Source organism: Homo sapiens, chromosome 4 (genome assembly GCF_000001405.40).
Source record: "Homo sapiens chromosome 4, GRCh38.p14 Primary Assembly".
Taxonomy (NCBI): domain Eukaryota; kingdom Metazoa; phylum Chordata; class Mammalia; order Primates; family Hominidae; genus Homo; species Homo sapiens.
In genome coordinates, this window is record NC_000004.12 from 82,503,394 (window position 1) to 82,526,968 (window position 23,575).

At 43.0% G+C, this 23,575-nt stretch overlaps 1 protein-coding gene across 3 annotated transcripts in view; it reads right to left on the reverse strand.

Annotated features, from left to right (window-relative positions):
* The window catches only part of TMEM150C (transmembrane protein 150C), a 79,078-nt gene that overhangs the window by 20,218 nt on the left and 35,285 nt on the right, over positions 1-23,575 (reverse strand). For all 3 annotated transcript variants that reach the window (NM_001353454.2, NM_001353455.2, NM_001080506.3), the window contains exon 2: positions 1,185-1,274. In NM_001353454.2, coding sequence (NP_001340383.1) covers positions 1,185-1,274 — 90 coding nt within the window. The remainder of the gene's footprint in view (positions 1-1,184; positions 1,275-23,575) is intronic.

Consider the following 23,575-nt stretch of genomic DNA (forward strand, 5'->3'; position numbering starts at 1 on the left):
AATTAGGGTTCAGTTTCTAACTTCTCGGGAATATGTGTCCTACCTTTCCTAACAAACTTTGAGAAACTAAAATAATTTTCTTAAAGTGAATATTACCTAAAATAAGCAAGTGTGGGAACGTTCTGTGGTAAGCCAGGACTTCCAATGTAATGATATTCATTTTATAAACATATCAGGCCGGGCGCAGTGGCTCACGCCTGTAATCCCAGCACTTTGGGAGGCCGAGGCGGGCAGATCACGAGGTCAGGAGATCGAGACCATCCTGGCTAACATGGTGAAACCCCGACTCTACTAAAAATACAAAAAATTAACTGGGTGTGGTGGTGGGCGCCTGTAGTCCCATCTACTTGGGAGGCTGAGGCGGGAGAATGGCGTGAACCCAGGAGGCAGAGCTTGCAGTGAGCCAAGATCATGCCACTGCACTTCAGCCTGGCAACAGAGCAAGACTCCGTCTCAAAAAAAAAACAAAAACAAAAAACAAAAAACAAAAACATATCAGACCCAATCATGAATAACTGGACTATGAACTGGACTGCAGACGGAACCCATGGCATGTTAGTGTCAAATTCGAAAATCTTGCAAATAATTAATTCATATAACCTGTTTACAAAATGTTCATTACAACAAGAACACATGAACACAAAATAAACTAGTATTCTTCACCACCGGCTTTGCATAATTATTACTCACTCTTGTTACTTACTTTGGTTAATAGAAAATGGGAAAAGAAATGAGGACTTTAGCAAGGTTGAATTAGTAAAATATATTATTTTCAAGTATTTATAAATACAGTCATAAAGATATGCCATCTACTATTTTTTGGGGGGGTGGGGACAGTCTTGCTCTCTTGCCCAGTCTGGAGTGCAGTGGCGCAATCTCAGCTCAATGCAACCTCTGCCTCCAGGGTTCAAGCGATTCTTGTGCCTCAGCCCCCCGAGTAGCTGGGATTACAGGCGTGTGCCATCACACCCGGCTAACTTCTGTATTTTTAGTAGAGACAGGGTTTCCCCATGTTGGCAAGGGTCTCAAACTCCTGACCTCAAGTGATCTGCCTGACTCGGCCTCCCAAAGTGCTGAGATTACAGGCATGAGCCACCGTGCCCGGCTGCCATATACTATTAAGGTTTACATTTGTATCTACATTGCACCTGAATCCTTAAATAATTAAATGAGCAAATACTCACACTATCCACAATCCAGCTGAAGTAAACAAAGTAAATACAAGAGGTAGGAACATCCATACGCTGCATTTCTTCCCATCCATGCCTGTACCACTGAAATAAAATAAACACGTATTAATAATTAAGGCAAAACATTTACTTCACTCTTTCAAGATAGAAAGTTTAGTCTAACTGGGCCAAGCACGGTGGCTTACACCTGTAATCCCAGCACTTTGGGAGGCCGAGGTGGGCGGATCACGAGGTCAGGAGATCGAGACCATCCTGGCTAACACAGTGAAACCCCGTCTCTACTGAAAGTACAAAACAATAGCCGGGCGTGGTGGCGGGCGCCTGTAGTCCCAGCTACTTGGGAGGCTGAGGCAGGAGAATGGCGTGAACCTAGGAGGCGGAGCTTGCAGTGAGCCGAGATCGCGCCACTGTACTCCAGCCTGGGCGTCAGAGCGAGACTGTCTCAAAACAAACAAAAAAGAAAGTTTAGTCTAACTGAAAAAAAAAGTGTATTTTATGAAACCATGATTCAAATTGGTATCATTATTCTCACCTACTCATGTGGGAAATCCCTGAAACAGTTAACATGGATGATTGTTATCTAGCTTAAATGTTCCAGAGTTTTAGTTAAGAATTAATAGAAATTTTATTTTTAAATTTTTTTTGTAGAGATGGGGTCTAGCTATGTTGCCCAAGCTGGTCTTGAACTCCTGGCCCAAAGTGATCCTCCTACCTTGACCTTCCAAAGTGTTGAGATTACAGGCATGAGCCACAGTGCCCGGCCAGAAAATTTTTCATAAAAACATTTATCCTTGTATAAGTATTGATACATTTAAGAAAAGACAAAAGAGTTTGGGTTAGGTTAGGACTTTCGCTAGAAGAGCTAAGTACCAAAGGTATACTTCAACCTACTTTTAGTACTAATATGAACATTTATGTATGTATGGAGCTGATCTGTACATAAATCTATAGGTTGGCAGACAAAGGTGTTAAAAACAAATGGTTACTAAATAAATTAGCAATTATCAGGAGGAAATGACAAATGCTTTGCAAATCTGAACTTTTCTCATGACATGTTATTGAGCAGCAATCGCAGGAGACTAAAGATGAATGTTCTGTAAAACAATGCATTGTGTATAACTTTAAATTAGTGCTAATAAATAGACTGAAAAAAATACATATGTCTGGCGTTTTGGAGGTTACAAAAATATAGAAATAAAAAATCCCCCCTCACACAAATGAAGTGAAAACTAGAAGCTCCAGAAGTATCTATGAAAAATTATCAGTATTAAACATAAAGAAATAACTATCACTTTATGCCTTAACTGCCAGACAAAATCTATCGGAGACACTGGATGCCAACATAATCCTTATGGCAAAAACACCTGTTCTAAGGAAATTAAGTGCTCTAGTAACCTCCACTGGGGACCTGACAATCAGAAGAACAATGTGATTAAATGGCATCTCTAGGGAGATATCAATGCTCTTTATTTTGAGTTTTACAATTAAAACAAGTTGTTGTTTTTTTTTTACAATTTTTTACAATTAAAGAAAGTTTGTTTACTGGTTTGAACCAGCACTGCCCCATTTGTGAATACCTCCAAGACATCTGCTTTCATATGCTGGGACTCTCTAGACCTTCCAAGTGTTGAGACAAGAGAGGAAACATGATGCTCCTCGCTTCAGGCTGGCGAACCAATCCCATCTGCAACATCTCAGGAGGTCTTAGTTCCCAGAACTGGTCTACCTGATTACGTAGATCTTTCAGACTAAGAGATAGACACTGGGCCTAATAAAGTGTCTTTCAACAGTTGTGCCTTTGTCTAAACACATATCTGGGCAGTGGTGTTAAATAAATTACAGAATCTAGTTTACAGATCTAAATTACAGAATAGAGTTGAAAGATATTAGAGCCACTTTCAATAATTTAATTTGCAACTAATCTAATCCAATACAATCCAACTCAAAATTATGGACACCCTACCTGTGCCAGGTACTATATCAGGTGGCGGAAATACTGAGGCAAGGTCTAATGAATACGACTATTTATACGTAACATTCTACGCAATATATAAAAGCTATTGTATGAACTAGTGGTTCATGGCTTTCTAGTTTATATAATACGGAAGAACAGTGAACATTTTAAGCATACACAGTATTGCTAGTGAGTCTCTATTCATTTATTTATGTCCAAAAAGTTGTGGGCTCATAATAAAGCTATCCATTATGCCAACAAAAATAATTCCATAAGTAGCCAAATGTAGAGGGAGCACAGAAAATAGGAGTGATGATTGAGTAAGTAAACCAATTATTCTAGGTCTGCCAATGAAACAGGGTCCTCAAATAGGATGAGTACAGCCAAGATGCTTAGGAGATCTGGTTCCCAACCTCGGCTTTCCCAATAACTGACTAATAGGGTCTGGGTCGTTACTTAAATCTGTGACACCATTTTCTTATGGTGTTACAGAATCTAGGAGCTGAAACCTAGATTGTGAGATTCAACTAAATGAACACTATTGAATGCAAAGAAAGGGAGAAGGATGTCAAGGACAGAGTGGCAGTACCTTGGAGGTTAAGCCAAGTCTGGTATTTTATACCTTTGCAAAAACAGAATGATCCAAAGTACTCAGAATTATCAGCCCCAGAGAAAATGTTAACTATTGTTACAACAGATTGATGAATAAATCAGAATGACAACTTGTTAATGTACAATGGGAGGCACAATTGTCAAATGGACAAATACTCATGCTGGCTCCCCTTTTAGGAATGTCTATATGGGAATCGAAATTTTCAAGCAGGGAGGTAGAGTGAAGAGGGTTAACAAGATAATTCTAAGACTATGGCATCAAGCTACAATAGCTTTATATACTAATTTCCTGGCTCAAGGTACTGGGATGTCCCATTTAGCCACTGATTCTCATTTACCTGCGCTTGTCAGCTTATATTGTGACTAAAGAATTCGCAATAGAGAAACGACTCTGATGTGCTCGCTGCTCCAGGTACTGGGAAAGGATTCCAGGAGGTTCCTGGAGATGAATGTTTAATTTGGTTTAGTTTCACAGGACTCTCTGAGCTGCCTTGGCTTGACAAGTTCAGATACCTGACTGAAAGTACCTTTTTGCAAAGGATAAACAATATATTAAATTAACTCTCTCTCTCTCTCTCTTTTTTTTTTTTTTTTTTTTTTTTTTTTTTTTTTTTTTTGAGACACGATCTCGCTTTGTCACCCAGGCTGGATGGGGTGCAGTGATTATGGCTCACTGCTGCCTCAACCTCCTGGGCTCAAGCGATCCTCCCACCTCAGCCCCCAAGTAGCTGGGACTACAGCTGCACACCACCACACCTGGCTAATTTTTTGTATTTTTTGTAGAGACAAGGTTTCACTACGTTGCCCAAGCTAGTCTAGAACTCCTGAGCTCAAATGATCCACCCACGTGAGCCACTGCCATGGGCAAATTAACTTTGTTAACTTTGCCTTACTGCTGCCTGAGAATTAAAGTTAAAAGTAGGAGATGGATCTTTTTCTTGCATCCTTCCAGACACCATGAAAATAAACTGGCCCATTGCTTCTAGTCACATTAGAAAGTGTCACCCAAACTTTACTTATATTTCCTAGCAAGAATAAGTTCCACTCTTTCCCTGAGCTAAATCACAAGTTTCCTCCCAGCTAGAAGAGTACATTTCCCTCTTTAAGGAAAGAGGGGGAGAAGAATGGAATATTCCATACTCCTAAAATAGTTTTGTCTTTGCATTTTTTCTTTAAAGAGATGGCATCTCACTATGTTGTCCAGGCTGAACTCAAACTCTTGGGCTCAAGAGATCCTCCCACTTCAACCTCCCTAGTAGCTGGGACTATAGGCATGCACCGCCACACCTGGCTTGTTGTATCTTTACATTCTGAATTGTGCTTTTTTTTTTTTTGAGATGGGGTCTCACTCTGTCGCCCAGGCTGGAATGTAGGGGTGCAATCTCTGCTCACTGCAACCTCTGCCTCCTGGGTTCAAGTGGTTCTCCCACCTCAGCCTCCTGAGTAGCTGGGATTACAGGCACCTGCCACCACACCCGGCTAATTTTTATATTTTTAGTAGACATAGGGTTTCACCATGTTGGCCAGGCTAGTCTCGAATTCCTGACCTCAGGTGATCAACCTGCCTTGGCCTCCCAAAGTGCTGGGATTATAGGTGTGAGCCACTGCACCTGGCCCGTACTTCTTTTTTATTCTACATAATATTTACTCTGTTGATATTAATCTTCCAATAATACTTCACAGTAAAAAAATTAAAGATAATTCTTCCCATGTCCTAAATGGTTAATTATATCTAGGACAACGTCACCTCATGAGCTTCTAACAAATGGAGGAAAAAAGCCAGAACTGCATAAACCTTCTTGAAAGGGTTCTGGCATTTAGATTTGCTTTGGAAGACTCTCCTCCAAATGGTATCATTTATCCAAATGATTTGCAAAGCTGTTATCCAGATGGTCAACTCTTCCTAAAGAGCCAATACTGCAAACTCTCTGTATATTTCTGTCGCATGTTCTTTTCTTCCAATAAATGTCATTCCCTAAGTCTGAGTTATCTTCACTTTCTTTTACTCAATCTGTGGTGTGAGTGAGACTGCACAGTGGGGCTCTTCAACACTTTGAGTCAGATGATGAAAATCCCCACCTTCTACCGCTCGCTTTGTGACCTGGCATCCCTGCAGTTCTCTTTGTTCCTCTCAGAGAAAATGACCTGTAGCATGAGGTCTGCAGAGGCTCCCACTATTGACATTTTTGTTGCTCTGGAAGTCTTCAAGCTGCAGATAGCCAAGAGAACACCTGGCCACTTGAAAATGTACGATTTTGTGGAAGTGAACAGAGTGTTACTATAAGCCCATATTAATTTATTATTTAAGACTCTTAACTCCTTTAGTTGGTTTGAAAAGGGGGTCTTTATAAAGTCAAAATTCACGGCCGGGTGGGGTGGCTCAAGCCTGAAATCCCAGCACTTTGGGAGGCTGAGGTGGGCGGATCATCTGAGGTCAGGAGTTCGAGACCAACCTGGCCAACATGGTGAAACCCATCTCTAGTAAAAATACAAAAATTAGCAGGGTGTGGTGGCACGCACCTGTAGTCCCAGCTATGCAGGAGGCTAAGGCAGGAGAATCGCTTGAGCCCAGGAGGCGGAGGTTGCAGTGAGCCGAGATCGCTCCACTTCACTCCAGCCTGGGTGACAGAGTGAGACTCTTTCTCAAAAAATAAACAAACAAACAAATAAATAAATAAATAAAGTCAAACTCACATGATTATTCATACTTCTGTCATCAAATTCAAAACAGATAGTTTGTACAGTGTTAGCTACTGAAGCTACAGAGTGAAAGAACATAGCATACCATTACCCATGCTAATCCTTGAGGACAAACTTTCTATTTTATCAAGCAGCAAATGGAAATGGAAGCTACAAATGGAAAAGTAAAGCCCAATCTTCATTTACAGCTTTAAAAACTTTATTAGGGCCGTGAGGTCAGGAGATCGAGACCATCCTGGCTAACACGGTGAAACCCCATCTCTACTAAAAATAAAAAAAATTAGCCGGGCATGGTGGCACGCGCCTGTAGTCCCAGCTACTTGGGAGGCTGAGGCAGGAGAATCGCTTGAACCCGGGAGGCGGAGGTTGCAGTGAGCCGTGATCGCACCACTGCACTTCAGTCTAGGCGACAGAGCAAGACTCTATCTCAAAAACAAAAACAAAAAAAAAACTTGATTAGTGAGAACCACTTACAACAATGACTGTGAAGTGTCATTGTAGTTAATATTTCCAAGGGTTGGAAGGGACTTGCTTATTATAAATAGAAGGACTTTGTCCTCCCTGGGGCAATGGAGAGAGGTAGCTATAGTTCACAGACTCTGGAGCCAGGCTACCAGGGCTTGGAATCCAGCTCTGCCTCTTATTAGTTGTGTGTCCTTGGTTAAGTCTTCTCTGTGCCTCAGTTTCTTCATCAGCAAAGTGGAAATAATAATGGTATCTACCTTACAGGGTTTTACTGAGGATTGAAAATATGTTTAAAGCACACAGAACAGTGGCTGGCATACAGTAGGCATTTCAATAAATGTTAACTGTATTATGCTGAAAGTGCTGTTGGGGGTCTTTGGTTATCTTTTTTTGTCTTGTAATTTATCAGGAAATGAGCTTCCTGCTACAATAGTTTTTCATTCTGCTCTCAGGGCCAACTGGAATGAAGCAGAAATGATGAACGAGTCGCCCACTCATGACCACGACTGTCACAGTGCCCATGAACCAAGAGCATCCTTGGTTTGTTTTTTAACCACCTGTGAATCTTATTTTTCTTTTGTGTCATGGGCAAGTGTGAAGGGCTTTTATTATCTTATCATTCATTTGTAATTATAAGGGGTAATGATGAGGACTGTTTATTTTGTTTTTCCCCTAAAATGTTTGCAGGCTCTCGGATATAAATCAGCCTGGGGAGATATGAAACACAACCAACAAATGTCACACTTGTTCTGCTAACAAAGAAAATTTTGTTTTCACTGAATCCTAAGTTTGGGAAGGCATAATAGTCAGGTGACCTGGTGTCACTTTAAGAGTATATGACTTCCCTCCATCCGCAGATATAAACAATATTATTCAATTAATGAGGCCAATCCCCCTGTTCCTACAACATTTTTCATAAGTGCTGGCAAGAAACAATATGTAGTAAAAGATTTCTATTAAACATTACCATTCCCAAAAGAATATGATGATTCCTAAGAACCAATGGCAACTAGTTTTTCTCCAATGCTGTCTTGATTTCTAAAGGCAATCACCTTCATTCAACTGATAGATGACTATAGGACTATAGGGATCCTTTCATGCCAGTGACCTAAGGATTCTTTTTCTCAGAAATCAATGGAGCACATTGTCCCAACACTATTTTTTTTTTTTTTTTTTTTGAGATAGGGTTTCACTCTGTCACTCAGGCTGGAGTGCAGTGGCATGATCATGGCTCACTGCAGACTCAATCTCCCCAGGTTCAGGTGATCCTCCCACTTCAGCTTTCTAAGTAGCTGGGACTACAGGCGTGTGCCACTATGCCCAGCTAATTTTTGTAGAGACAGGGTCTCATCATATTGCCCAGGCTGGTCCTGAATTTCTGGGCTCAAGCGATCCACCTGCCTCGGACTCTCAAAGTGTTAGGATTATAGGCGTGAGCCACTGCGCCTGGCCTGTCCCTACACTATTGACAGAATAATCCCAGAAGGAATTCCCTTCTACCAGCACTTCAATTCAATAATACTGTCTTAGAGTTTCTATGCCAAGATCCTCTTCAGAGTCCGTTTATATCTTTAATAATAATAAAAATATTGCCCACATGTGGCAGATGTAACTGCCAACCCAACAGTCATTTCTCCTCTTTTTCTTAGCTAATAGAAGTCTAATTTTATTAGGGACAGCAATGTGCTCAGCCCAAGGCTATAGGTCATGAGTTGTTAAGCCAATCATAGTGATCTCATTTTCCTTTAACAAGTACCTTTCTAGACTCCTTTGAACCTGGCCCATGAGATGCAAGGGGAAGTCTACTGAGCAGCAAATGGGAAGAATTTGCATCCTTGATAGTGGATTGTTTCTTTTCTGCCCACCCTACTTCTCTCCCACTTGGGATGCTATAGTGAAAATATGGTACCTAGTGCTATGGCAGCCATAATGTAACCACGAGACAAAAAAACATGAGGACCCAAAGTCAACATACTGAGAATGGCAGATTAGACGGTGGGAAGAACTGAATCCTTGATAACATCATTAAGACACTACCAAATGCTCAATATCACCTACCTCCAAACTTGTAATGTGAATAAATTAAAAGTCATTATTGCTTTATTACTGTAGGGTGGTAGAGCACCAAAATCCACTCTGTCTCCTTCCATTATAATTCGGTAAGCGGCTGCTCGCCTACCTTATACTTCGCAGCCTCCTTTGTAATAAGTGTGGCCCTGTGAGTAAGTTCTCTCCAATGGAAAATGAATGAAGGCTCATATGATAACACGATTTCATTATACAGGAAAATGTCCATTTTCTAGAGGAGTATACTATTTAGCAGCCAATTGTCACATGTCTAAAATTCACTTAAAATTTTCATCAATGGGGTGATGAAAAAGTTTCAGAGACAGAGTGGTGATGGTCATACAACAATGTGAATATAATTAATGCCACTGAATTATACACTTAGCAATGGTCACAATGGCAGTTTTTGTTATATATATTTCACCAAAATTTTTAGAAGTTTAAAAAGCCACTTCAAAAAAGATGAAGTACCACCTCACCCATTAGGATAGCTATTATCAAAAAACAAAAAGTGGCCTCTGGGCAGGGCATCTCTGAAAGAAAGGCAGCAGCCCCAGTCAGGGGCTTATGGATAAAACTTCCATCTCCCTGGGAAGGGCAACTTGGGGAAGGGGCAGCTGTGGGTGCAGCTTCAGCAGACTTAAATGTTCCTGCCTGCCGGCTTTGAAGAGAGCGGCAGATCTCCTAGCACAGCGCTCAAGCTCTGCTAAGGGACAGACTGCTTCCTTAAGTGGGTCCTTGACCCCCGTGCCTCCTGATGGGAAGACACTTCCCAGCAGGGGTCGAGAGACACTTCATACAGGAGAGCTCTGGCTGGCATCTGGCAGGTGCCCCTCTGGGAAAAAGCTTCCAGAGGAAGGAACAAACAGCAATCTTTGCTGGTCTTCAGCCTCCACTGGTGATACCCAGGCAAACAGGGTCTGAAGTGAACCTCCAGCAAACTCCAGCAGACCTGCAGCAGAGGGGCCTGACTGTTAGAAGGAAAACTAACAAACAAAAAGGAATAGCGGGAATGAGGAGGTATTGTTTAATGGGTATGGAGTTTCAGTTTTGCCAATGAACTGCACACTTAAAAAATCATAAATTTAATGTCATGATATTTTACCACAATTAAAAAAAAAAAGACAGTCATAAGGAAAATGTGTGACTAAAATCTGGTGTGTGCCAACAAAGTCTGTTGACCTTAAAAAAAAAACCTGTCACCTGACCTAACTTGAAAAGCAGACTACATTTCTATTGAGCCTCTACCCGGACTGATTTGCAAAGAGAGATACAAAAGAAGAGGAAGAGTTTAGAAATTTGGTGTCTTGAAGGGTTGGAAAAGCCAGTGACTTCTAAACCTCAAACAGCAAGAGACTGGAGATGAAAATAAGGGTTTTGCCTTCCCTCCCAACTCTACTGTCTCAGAGGGCTCCGTATAGCTGCCACTACATTGAGAGAGGAAAACATGGAGGGCAAGGAAGCAAAGAAATAAAGTAGGCAGATAGCCCAAGTCTTGGAAAGAAGGTTGGGAGAGAAGGCTGGCATGTGAACTGGCTGGAAGTTCTGAGTACCTGAACTGCATTAGCAAAGGGACCATAGCCAAGCCAGTAATATGACTGTTGCACTCTCAAACTTCCAAATTTGCACCAGCAGGCAGTGGGCTGCAAAAGCTGAACAGCCACCAAGGCGGGGGATAACCCCAGCACCCACTTCAGATTTGGCGAAGGAGGAAACTGAACACAGAGAAGCCCCTTCCCCAAGGGCAAGACCAAGGGACACCAAGAGCATGAGCAAGGGCTCTCCTGAAGAGCAGAACCAGAGTCTAGTCAGGCAAGCTCCTCTTCTGCCGGGGCAAGGGGCCTTCCCATTGCCTGCTGCAGGATCCCAGCCTTGCTGTGGACCAGGGGCTGCTGTGTGCATTTCCTCCTCCTCTTTTTCCAATAGGAGTTTTAATTGTGTTTTTCTGCTCCCTGTTCTACCGTGGTATATTGAATGTGAGTATGAGTGCAGAAGTCGGGAGATAACTTGCCTTTTAGCTCACAGGTTGCAAGACCATCAGGAACCATGTTGGAACGTAATGGAAATAATTCATACGTTACCCAGCGACCATGGATTTTCAGGCAGTGCATTTACTGGATGGGGCTTTGGTTTGTCTCCCTTGGGATGAAGCAAGTGTGTTCTATGTGTAGAAATTGGGGCATTCACTGATTCTTGGTGGTCAGAGGCACTGACTCCAGCAAAGACAGCCAGCTGACTATGAACATCCATTCTTCTCTTCTTCCACTGTGTCAGAGGAATAGCTAGGCACATGGCTGCCCAGCTACATGACTCTCCCCATCTTCCTCTGCACTGTGAAGTAGCCACATGAATTAATTCTTGCCAATGGAATGTAAGCCTGCCTGGCACATACTCATTTCCTATGAACCGGGACACGATGACCGGAAGACAGGAGCTATGCTGCAGATGGCCTGGTTATCATGAGCCCCTTCGCCCCTCACTGATATGAAATAGCCACCATGGACTGTTATGTGAAAAAAAAATTCATTTTTAAGCCACATTATTGTTGCCTTATTGTTGTTATAGCAGCTGAACCTTTCACTCTAGCTAATACATTCAGATACTCTGTTAATTGAAGCCCAAACACCTCACCTGATGTTTCACCCTATTCTCTATAAAAATGACAAAATCACTCTGTCCATTAGCTACTAGAGAGGTACATTGATTCTGAGGTGACACTAACTTAACAGAACGATTCTGAGGTGACACTAACTTAACAGAACCTTACTCTGGTGAATCCACTGATACCCAAGAGTTCCAAGTGACTAGGTGGTTCCCCTCAGCACAGGGAGGAATTAAGGCCAGGGAATGGGTTCCTCACTTAGCAGTGGCCCACCTTTGACATATACAATTTTTAGAAAGGTTTTATAAATATGCGCACATAAGTTTTCCTTAAAGATTTCACTGTATTTTATTCAGCACAGCACCCTGAGAAGTATAGGAATGGCTGGGTAACATGACTAATTTCATTTTATAGATGACAGTGAGGTGATTACTCCCAATATGACTGACTCAGCAGTTCTAAAGAAATCTCTTGGCCGGGCGCGGTGGCTCACGCTTGTAATCCCAGCACTTTGGGAGGCCGAGGTGGGCAGATTACGAGGTCAGGAGATGGAGACCAGCCTGGCTAACATGGTGAAACCCCGTCTCTACTAAAAATAAAAAAATTAGCCGGGCATGGTGGCACGCGCCTATAATCCCAGCTACTTGGGAGGCTGAGGCAGGAGAATCGCTTGAACCCAGGAGGCAGAGGTTGCAGCGAGCTGAGATCGTGCCACTGCATTTCTGCCTGGGCGACAGAGTGAGACTCTATCTCAAAAAAAAAAAAAAAAGAATCTCTTCTAGTCCTTCAGCCATAGGCAGTGATTTCACGTGCCTTCCTATCCCTAAGGCAAAAACAAACAAACCAAAAAACCAAATCTGTACGGCAGCCTGACCACAAGCTAACTGAAAATGAGATCCTTGTGCCTGGAAGCCCCTGGTCTACAGCTTTGAAATAGCATCACAGCAACCCTCTTTCTGGCCCATAGTCACAGCTCCAAGTGCCAAAACAAACAGTGAGCCTTCACAATTCACAATGCTGGCTCTCCTTGCTAGGCTCTGACATCAACACCTCAGGCCTGGTTCAGTGAAGAGAAACAACCAAACATGAAGCAAACCAGAGCACAACAAGAAATGCACCACTCAGATCCCCAGAGGACAGACAGGCCCAGAAAGTTCAAGAGATGGGGACCCGAGAAGCAAATTCAGGTTGAATCTTATGTGGCTAATGGTAGAACACGAAGACTAAGAAATGCCAGGCAGATGCATTTGACCATCAAGCCCCAAACACTAAACTCGAACCTCCTCCTCAAACAAGCTGGCAGCTGCTCAGTGGATGTGTTATACCAGGGTGATAGTCAAAATGATAATTCTTCCATGCTCCATTCTAATGGGAACTCAGAACAGAGCAGGAACCATGAGCACATAGCCTGGATCCAGATTCTCTGGTTTCAAATCCAGGCTCTGCCACTTAGTAGCTGGGTGATACTGTACACACTGCTTAAACTTCTTTAAGCCTCAGTTTTCTCATCTATAAAATGGGGATCATAATAGTACCTATTTCCTAGGGCTGTGGTGAAGATTAAGGGAGTTAACATACATAAGACTATTTGATAAGCACATGGCAAGCATTCAATAATTGGAAGCTATTATTGTTATAAATGGTTGTCTCAGTACCACTGATGCCCATCCCATTTGTGGTCCAGAAAAAGAAGGTAAAACTGCAGATCTATTCCAGCTGAAAGATGACTGCTTAGGAACTCAGTCAGAAACCTGACAGAGAATGTAGAATATGCTTTTAATGTCCTCTTGGTGAAGCAAAAGGAACAAATCCTTCAAATAGTCTCTTAGAAATTACTTTACGCTGATGACTTCTTTGGAAGGACAAAACACATGTGAAATATACCAGATCATAGGTTTCTTGTTGGAGTTCAGACTGATGTGGGGAAGGTTGTACATCATCCTGCATCCTTCCTATGGCCAGAAGAACTAATCAACAACTCAGAACCCGAACTCCCCAGAACGCTTAGGACCACTACACGACCAGAATGAAAAACAGTGAGACCAGGGACTTGTAAAATGCAGTTAACTGCCTGATGCCTGTCCTTCCAAAGCCTGTTGGTGCTCCACACACCTCGTGAAAGGTGACCCAATGTAGTTTCTCACTTCATACAGTACCCTGTACAAAAACCGACCTGGAACAGACCTTGTAAATTATCAGCCTTCCCTAGCTTCCTTAAATCCTCTCTCATTTCCCACCAATGATGTCATTTCATGTTTATTTTAAGCACTTATAAGGTTACAGGATATGAATAAGAGTGTGTCCTCAGAAATAGGAGCAAAATCAGGAAGATCACTGTAATGGTTAATTTTAGGTGTCAACTTGATTAGGCTAAAGAATGCCCAGGTATCTGGTAAAACATTATTCCTGAGTGTGCTTGTCAGGATGTTTCTGTAAGAAATCAGCATTTGAATCAGTAGACTAAGTAAAGAAAACTCACCCTTACCAATGTGGGAAGGCATCACCCAATCCATTGAGGGCCCTGATAGAGCAAAAAGGCAGAGGAGGAATGAATTCTCTCTTTTCTTGCGCTGGAACACCCATCTTCTACTGCCCTTGGACATCAGAACTCCAGTCTCAGCCTTGGGATTCCAGACACATACCTGCACCCCTCCCAGGCTCTGAAGCCTTCAGCTTCGGACTGAGAGTTACACCATCGGCTCCCCTTGCTCTCAGGCCTCCAGACTTGGACTGGATTGTAACACCAGCTTTACAGGGTCTCCATCTTGCAGATGGCAGATCATGGGACTTCTGGCCTCCATAATTGCCTAAGCCAATTCTCATAATAAATCTCCTCTTCTATATCTCTATATATCCTATTGGTTCTGTTTCTCTGGAAAACTGACTATACAGTCATCAGACAAAGTGGCTCCATAGTTAACCAAGAAAATGAAGCACGTAGAGCAATAACATATTCTAACAACAACTTGCAAGCTCACTGCTAAGAGGACTGACATGTTTCCTACCTCTCCTTACAGAGACTAAAAAATATTCTCAGAAAGTAGTGACCAGGCTGGGCATGGTAGCTCATGTCTGTAATCCCAGCACTTTGGGAGGCTGAGGCGGGCGGATCATCTGAGGTCAGGAGTTCGAGACCAGCCTGGCCAACATGGTGAAACTCCATCTCTACTAAAACTACAAAAATTAGGCAGGCATATTGGTAGGCACCTGTAATCCCAGCTACTGGGGAGACTGAGGCAGGAGAATTGCTTGAACCCGGGAGGTGGAGCTTGAAGTGAGCCGAGATCAAGCAACTCCACTCCAGCCTGGATGACAGAGCGAGACCCCATCTCAAAAAAAAAAAAAGAAAGAAAGTAGTGACCGGCATGAGCTGCTCCGTGCCCTGGCCTCTGGCCAGTGTGCCCCTCAGCGGCTCTCCAAAGGCTCCAGTGTTGCTTACCAGACCCGGGATGCACTGGGCTTTGTCCTGGGCTACCTCTATAGGACAGTCCTCTCCTGGCTGTCCCTTTACAGCTTTTTATGCCAGCTGCCTTCTTCAGCCGCCTCTACTTCCCTATGAAGTGGATCATACGTTGACACCATTTTCCTCTCCTAGGTGGGAGGGTAGGGCAGGGCGGAGTTTGGGGGGATCATCCTTTGAGACATACGAGGGGTTTCTCTTTTTGTTCCCTTTACCATTCCTAGACCAGCAGGCTCCTCCCTACTGGGGTTTGGCTGCCCAGTTTCTAGACAATGGGCACTGTTGTACCTTTCAGGACTTGCCACCTGCCTGCACAACTTCCTTCCCAGGATTGGAACCTGACTAATTCACCTTTAAAGCAGCTCTACGGTACTTGGTAGAGTACAAAAAAATGGACTGAGAGAATATTCTTCTTTTAGAAGTAGCTCATCAGTTATTAGATAGCCTGTTCTCTTCCTTAGATAACTATTTATAGCATATTATTTGGATTCTCAAATCAGTTATACTCCCCCCAATATCTTGACTTGTTCCTCGCCTGGGGTGAATTAAGGGCATATTCATTGACTGAAGAAGTTGAACCATTAGCATTCTCAGTGTGTCTGAACAGTGTCGTATGGGGGAGCAAACTGCTTTGATTTGGAGGACGAGTGTTAGTCTTCTGGAAAGAGGCAACCTGACAGTAAAGAACAGCAATCTGCCAAACCTGCTCGACAGAAATATCCTCACTTCTTTTGTTGTAAATCTACATTTATCATGTCACCTTTTGGCCTACAACATGGTTTTCTGAACAGAGTTACTCACCAGAAAGGATTTTCCTAAGCAAACAACTATTGTTGCTTTAGCCCCATGGTGAATGCTGTAGTACCCCCTTATCCACAAAGGACACACACATTCCATGACCCCCAAGAGATGCCTGAAATCTCAGATAGTAACAAACTCTATATATACGATGTTCTTTCTCTTTCTTTTTCTTTCTTTCTTTCTTTCTTTCTTTTTTTTTAGATGGAGTCTCACTCTGTTGCCCAGGATAGAGTGCAGTGGCCAAGATCTCGGCTCACTGCAACTCCTGCCTCCCAGGATCAAGTGATTCTCCTGCCTCAGCCTCCCCAAGTAGCTGGGATCACAGGCACGTGTGACCACGCCCAGCTAATTTTTGTAATTTTAGTAGAGATGGGGTTTTACCATGTTGGCCAGGCTGGTCTCGAACTCCTAACCTCAAGTGATCCACCCGCCTCGGCCTCCCAAAGTGCTGGGATTACAGGCATGAGCCACCAAGCCTGGCCACGATGTTTTTTCTATACATACATGCATAAGATAAAGTTTAATTTATAAATTAGGCAGAGTAAGAGAGTAACAACTAATAATAAAATAAAAAAATAGAACAACTATAATAATATGCTGTAATAAAAGCTATGTGAATGTGCTCCTCCCCATCTATTTCAAAATATCTTAATATTTTTGGACCTCAGTCGACTATGAGTAACTGAAACTGTGGAAAGTGAAACCGCTGATAAAGGAGTCTACTGTACATTTCCATTCTGGTTTAGAAAACAGTCTTATAAATTTGTCATTGTGAGGTGTTCTGCAGTTTGTGCACCATCTAGTGAATGATGAAAGAAACCTGTCACACTGAGGGCTTAGACAGTGGACCTGGGCAGACTGGTCTTAGGCATTTTTGTTACCTTTACATTATCTGGACTTGTGAATTATATAGACATGCAATTCATAATTGGAAAGTAAAAATGCCCAGTAGTGCCATGCCTGAAACAGTTAACTGTTAATGGTTCAATATACATCCTCCCAGGTTCTCCCCCACATATGTGAAAGTGTGAAATTTTTTACTTAACCATGCAATGTGGACATCTCAGTGTGGACACCTTTCTATGTCAGCACCCACAGTGTCCTCCCAGTCTTGCTCCCCAAACTTGCTTTGTCCGCAGTCTGCCTTGCTCCATGAATGGTGGCTCCCCATCCTTCCTCTTTCTCAGGCCGAAAGCCTTGAGATCGTCTTAGACACCTCAATTTCTCCCACACCCCACATTCAATGTGCCCAAAATCCTGAGCCAAAATAAGAGTTCAAACTGAACCACTCCTTGCTACAGCAGCCAGGGAAATACTATGACAGCACTGATCAGATCATGTCATCCTTTAGCTCAATACCCTACTAAGGCTGGGCATGGTAGTTCACGCCTGTTATACCAGCACGGAGGTGGGTGCATTGTTGGAGGCAAGAGTTCAACACCAACCTAGGCAACATAGCAAGCCTCCATGTGTACAAAAAAATTAAAAAATTAGCCAGGTGTAGTGGCAGGTGCCTGTAGTCCTAGTTACTCAGAAGGCAGAGCCTTGAGCCCAGGAAACTGAGGATACAATAAGCACTATGGTCATACCACTGCATTCCAGCCTGGGTGACAAAGTGAGACCCTGTCTCTAAAAATAAACAAACAAAACACACACAAAAACTGGCTAAGCCCCTACCTCAGAGCAACCGTCCCTTCCTCTCTGACTTTACGCACTACTCACCCCTGGCTCCAGCCATTCCAGTCTCCTTGCATTACTTGAACGCATCAGACACCTCCCTGCACAGGCCACACATATGGTGTACTGTCCCCTGTCCCGCCAGAAAGGCACATGGCTGCTCCCTCACCACAAGTCTTGGCAAAAATGGTACCTTCTTGGTGAGGCCTTCCCTGAGCATCCCATTGAAAATCCCCTAACCCCTAGAATTTCCTATGTCACCCTGCTATATTTTTCTCCATAGCACCTAATATTACATTTTATCTATTTTAATCCCAGACTTTCTTCTTCCACTAATTGCAAGCTCCACGAGGGTAGGGATTTTTACCTTTTGCTCCTTGTTTTTCCCCAGTCTCTAAAACAAGACCTCACCCATAGCAGTGTTCAATAAGTATCTGGTGAAGAATAAATGAAAGGCACTGTGCTACCAAATGGGAAATATAAGATTGAAAAAAGCAAAACAAAAGCAGAAGCCTTGGCTAAGGGAACAGAAATGTAAACAAATAACTACAGCATGCGGAACAGCCTGAAAATTGCCATACACACATAGAAGATGAATTCTTACATCCACACAGTACGAGTGATTAATTCTGACCATGGGGATTAGAACAGGGTCCATGGAGAAGGTAGCATTCAAGCTGGGCCTTGGGTAGTAAACAGAATTGTAAGATGCTGAAAGGGAATGGAAGGCTATCAGCAAGAGTATCTTGGTGAAAAGGAAATGCAAAATGTTTGTGGAGAAGACTCGGTGATGCAGAGGGGATGACACACAGGGTAACTGATTGAGATGTGACGTGGGAGGTGAGGTTGGAGAGGCATCCACAGTCAGACTGTGTGGGGCCAGGACAGAACGCTCAGGAGGGGGACTGAAGGAGGCCATGCTTGGGCAATGGGCAGCACTGACTTATTAGTGATAAAGTGAAGGTGGTGCTTAGAGGATGAAATTTGCTCTTTGGGCTGGATGCAGTGGCTCACACCTGTAATACCAGCATTTTGGGAGGTTGAGGTGGGAGAATCGCTTGAACCTGGGAGGTCGAGGCTGCAGTGAGCCATTACTGCACCACTGTACTCCAGCCTGGACAACAGAGCGAGAACTTTATTCAAAAAAAAAATTTACTCTTTGTTTGCTCTTTGTTTATGGTATTCTCCAAAACCATAAAAACATGGGAGGTAGAAACAGGTTAGGAGGCTACAGGAAGAACTACCACCCCCATATTCTAACCACAGCTCCCTGCCTTGGGAGTCCTCTGGTCTGAAATGGTAAGATTGAGTGTGGCCAGTCCTGGTTATCTCACCAAAATCCACAAGCGACCAAAGTGAAACAATGTAGAGAGACGAAAACACTGGATACTTTTGAAATGGCTTTGACAAGATGGGAGTAAGCTCCAATAACACGCCACAGAACACATTCTGGCAATCAGCTAGCAGGCAGTAGCCCTGGCAATTTTATTCCCTGCTGAGTTAAATGATAAAATTACAAAGGAAAAGAGATGCTTGCAGGTTTATTTGGGTACAAAGGAAGTTCAGCATCTTAATGCATGAAATCAAAATTTGTACTTCCCTGAGAGGCATCAGATAGCACGGTGTATGGTCTTCAGCTTCTGCATAATGATAAAGGAATGAAAGGAAAGAGAGATGTTACAGAAAAAACTATTTAATGACACCTGTTAAAGCGCAGTAAGGCTGACTTTCTTCAGGACCATGGAGACAGGTACGGGGACATCTGCAATGTGATTTGCAGTTAGGAAGAGAGATTGAGCTCAATTCCAAATACAGCATGAGCAAGTGGGAATCTATAGCCAAGGAGCTGGGTGGGGGGCTGTGGACAGAAAATTACTAAGAGGAAATATAAGGGGTAAGAGGGGATTCTGGCTAAACCAACCTAACGGGATTCTTGCCAAAGACACCAGGGTGATCAGATGTCACCTGGGGGATGGTGGAGAATAGAAACCCGACATGGAGAATGATCAGGTATTGAAGGCTGGGGTTTTTTTGCTAAAACGGGATTTTACAAGGCATTCACAGGTGGGCCCAGTAGAAGGTTCAGGAGCCCTGACCAAAGTTTAGTCACATGAAGAATCTTTGTCAGAGGGTAGGGTCCAAATGATACAGCTTTGATGAGTGGAGGAACACCAGGGTTCTTTGTCCTCATGCCAGTTTAGATAAAATGACACGGACACATGAGGAGTGGTTTTAAGGAGTTTAATAGGCCGGAAAGAAAAGAGAAAGGCAGAAGGAAGAGGCTCCCCCGTACACAGCCAGAGGGATGGGGGCGGGGGGGTGCTCCAAAACCAAAAGAGGAGGTCCCCACCTGTCATGGATACCAGTCAGGTGTATATACAGAGGTTGGAGGAGGCGGTGTTTGATTTGCATAGGGCTCAGGGGATTGGTTTGACTAGGCATGTCACTTACGTAGCCCTGCGAGAAAGCTGGCCCTCTCATCCCAGCCTTTTAATATGCAAATGCATTGCCATGATGTTCTACACACGTGGGGATATGTGGGGGTGGCCATGTTGCCAGGAACATGTGAGGCAAGGGCGAGAAGGCTGCAGGAATCGCCATTTTGGGTGGACCCAGTTTCTAATGGCCTGCATTTGTATATCAAAGTTTGCCGGCCTGGTGGGGCCTTACAAGAAACTTTCCGGAAATGCTTTAAAAAATGAAAACTTCCCAAAGACCCCTTTCCCTCTCTATTTGCCTAAAATAATTTCTTAATAACTCCTACAACACAAATAACTTTTTTTTTTTTTTAAATAACTCAGGCTGGAGTACAGTGACGTGATCTCAGCTCACTGCAACCTTCACCTCCTGGGTTCAAGTGATTCTCCTGCCTGAGTCTCCTGAGTAGTTGGGATTATAGGCGCCTGCCGCCACACCTGGCTAATTTTTGTATTTTTAGTGGAGATGGGGGGGGTTTCACCATGTTGGCCAGGCTGGTCTTGAACTCCTGACCTCAGGTGATCCGCCCACCTCCGTCTCCCAAAATGTTGGGATTACAGGTGTGAGCCACTACACCTGGCCTCAAATAACCTACTTTATTAAAACACAACAACTTTGGGAGGCCAAGAAGGGCAGATCACGAGGTCAGGAGATTGAGACCATCCTGGCTAACACGGTGAAACCCCGTCTCTACTAAAAATACAAAAAAAAAAAAAAGGTTAGCAGGGCGTGGTGGTGGGTGCCTGTGGTCCCAGCTACTCGGAAGGCTGAGGCAGGAGAATGGCGTGAACCCGGGGGGCGGAGCTTGCAGTGAGCCGAGATCACGCGAAAAACAAAACAAAAACAACACAGCAACTAAAACATGACCATAATTCAAAATTAGGTTACAGAATCTAAGTTTATTTCATAAGTATTTTATTTTTTGATTTTTGTGTTGAAAAAAAAATCTGTTTTTTCTTTTTCCAAAAACATTCATTGTACATTTAGGTAGACATTTCTAAAAAGAGAGACATGTGTCTTGGGACCCCCACGTTTCATTATTTAGCTGTGAATTTCTTTTAATCTACCCACTTCTTTTAAATCGCAAACAAATTACTTGCAGCTTTCTTTAGTCTCTGCAGAAAATTACTCAAGTAATTGTCTTTATGATGTCTTTCCTTCTTATTTATATAACCACTGAAAAAGGAGATTTTCATTCACTTGACAAGTATTTACCCAGTGCCTTCCCTGGGTCAGGTATTCTGTTGGGTAGTAGGAAGGTACAATTATGAAAAAGGCAGACTCTAACCTGAAGGCATCTAGAGGAGGAGACAGACACAATTACGTAATCACGAATGCAAATGTAGCAACTTTGATAATGCAAACAAGTCCTACAAAGCCCAGAGTAAGGCAAACATAATCCCACCTGAGGAAGCTGGGACTGATGAATAGAGGAGGTGACATTAAGATGGTCTGGAAGGAATTCACCAAGTAGATAAAGCTAGACAGGCATCCTGGGTAAGGGACCGCTCAAACAAAGGCACAGAAACACGGTGTGATTACAAACTAAATGAGAAGGATTTTTACCGATGAGGAGGATTACAGCATGGCTATAGTACTGGGGGAGCAGGAACCTATTGCAATGTTCTCAGAGAGACACAGGTATACTGAATCAAGCATTGTGAAATCAATGAATTCAAGAAATATTTTGGAGGTAGGAGGTGACCATACAAAGAACACTTGAGGCATTTCATTCTTGCAAACGCAGCTGAGACAGGGCCGGCAGTACACACCTTTCAATGAATAGAAACTTTAAAATGTACTCTGCTAGTGAATTTGCGTGTTTGGAATAAAGTCAGTTGGGGCTTGGTAAAGGAGAAAAAAATTGTTGCATTGATAGGATCTGTAGATTTTGTTATAAAAGACAGATATGTAAATGAAAGTACATTCTGAGAATCTGATCCATGCTGAAACTGAGTAATAAAACCAGAACTGTATTGTTTCCAAAGTCTAGTTCAGTGATTCTTCTCCACTTCAAGTGGCTACAAACCAGAAAATCTAATTAACGATGGGAGGTGGGAGGGATGAGACTGAAGATTTACAGGAGATAAAGATTTATGAAAACTCAATATTCAGGATAAAGAAAGGGGGATAGAATAGCTCTTTAATTAAAAGATAACATTCCATTCTTTGTTTTTCATTGTTTAACAAAGATGAAAAGATATCCAGCCCTTTCTCTCTGGCAGAAAAATGCTTAACAGCTTTGAATATGGTTACGAAATGACACCCACGGCTGTGGATGGACATTAGTCTGTTTTTCTGAGCCCCCACAAGACAAGTCCCTAAATTCTGCCACAGGGAGGCCATATGATCACATGCACACAGCCTCATGAGTGGGCAGGGTGGCTGTGGTTTGCTCCCTGGGTTGTAAAACCGTCCTTGCCCAAGGCCTGATAAAAGCAGGTAGTGGAGAAAGGCTGCAAAGCCCATTTCTTAGGCAAAAGAAAAAAAAAAACATTTTCTTTTGTTTTGGTTTTTGCTTTTCAGGCAGTGTTTTGCTCTGTCACTCAGGCTGGACTGCAGTGGCATGATCATGGCTCACAGCAGCCTCCACCTCCTGGGCTCATGTGATCCTCCCACCTCAGCCTCCATAATAGCTGGGACTACAGGTGTACTCCACCACACCTGGCTAATTTTTATATTTTTAGTAGAGACAGGGTTTTACCATTTAGCCCAGGCTGGTCTCAAACTCCTAGGCTCAAGCAATCCTCCCACCTTGGCCTCCCAAAGTGCTGGGATCATAGGTGTGAGCCACTGCTCTCACCCAAGATAAAAAACTTTGATAGGAAAGTACAGAAAAACATTTTGGGGTTGTGGATGAGGAGATAAGGACAACTATATTTGAATCCAAGGAAGCAATAAGAACAAGTAGAACACATTTCTTCTGGCAGTCAGTGCTAGATCCTATCTGCTCAATTGGCCAGGTACTTTGAATGGTCAAACATATCATTTGGCCTTTGGAATCACCCTGCCTAAAAAAGTATTTCCTTGGGAAATAATAACAACAACAATAATAATGATGATGACAGGATATTGGCAGCAGTTAATACGCCCTGTGCCTAACATTCTGCCTAGTACTTTACATGGATTCTCTTATTAATCCCTTACAGCAGCTCTGTAAGGTGGAGACTATTTTTACTGCCAACTTACAAATGAAAATATAAAGGCCTACAGAGGTTTAATATCTTGCTCAGGGTCACACAGCTAGTAAGTGGTTGAATCCAAACTCCTGGGCTATTGTCACTACAACTAAACTTTATTATGCTTTATGACACTCACCACTTACAAAAACCTCTCAATTAATTATAATGCTTAGATGGTCTTCTAATTAATTAAAACTAGATGGCCTCGCTTTCGATCTTTACTGATAGTCTTTCTGAAGTCTATCCTACCTCAGTAAAGACTACATACTGAGCGTAATTATGCCTTTCACTGGTGACCGAGGGTCTTCGGTTAAGAATCATGATTTTGTCTCCCCTGGCATGTCTTCCCCGTGTAATTCTTACCCATCTTTCCAGAACCGATTCCAC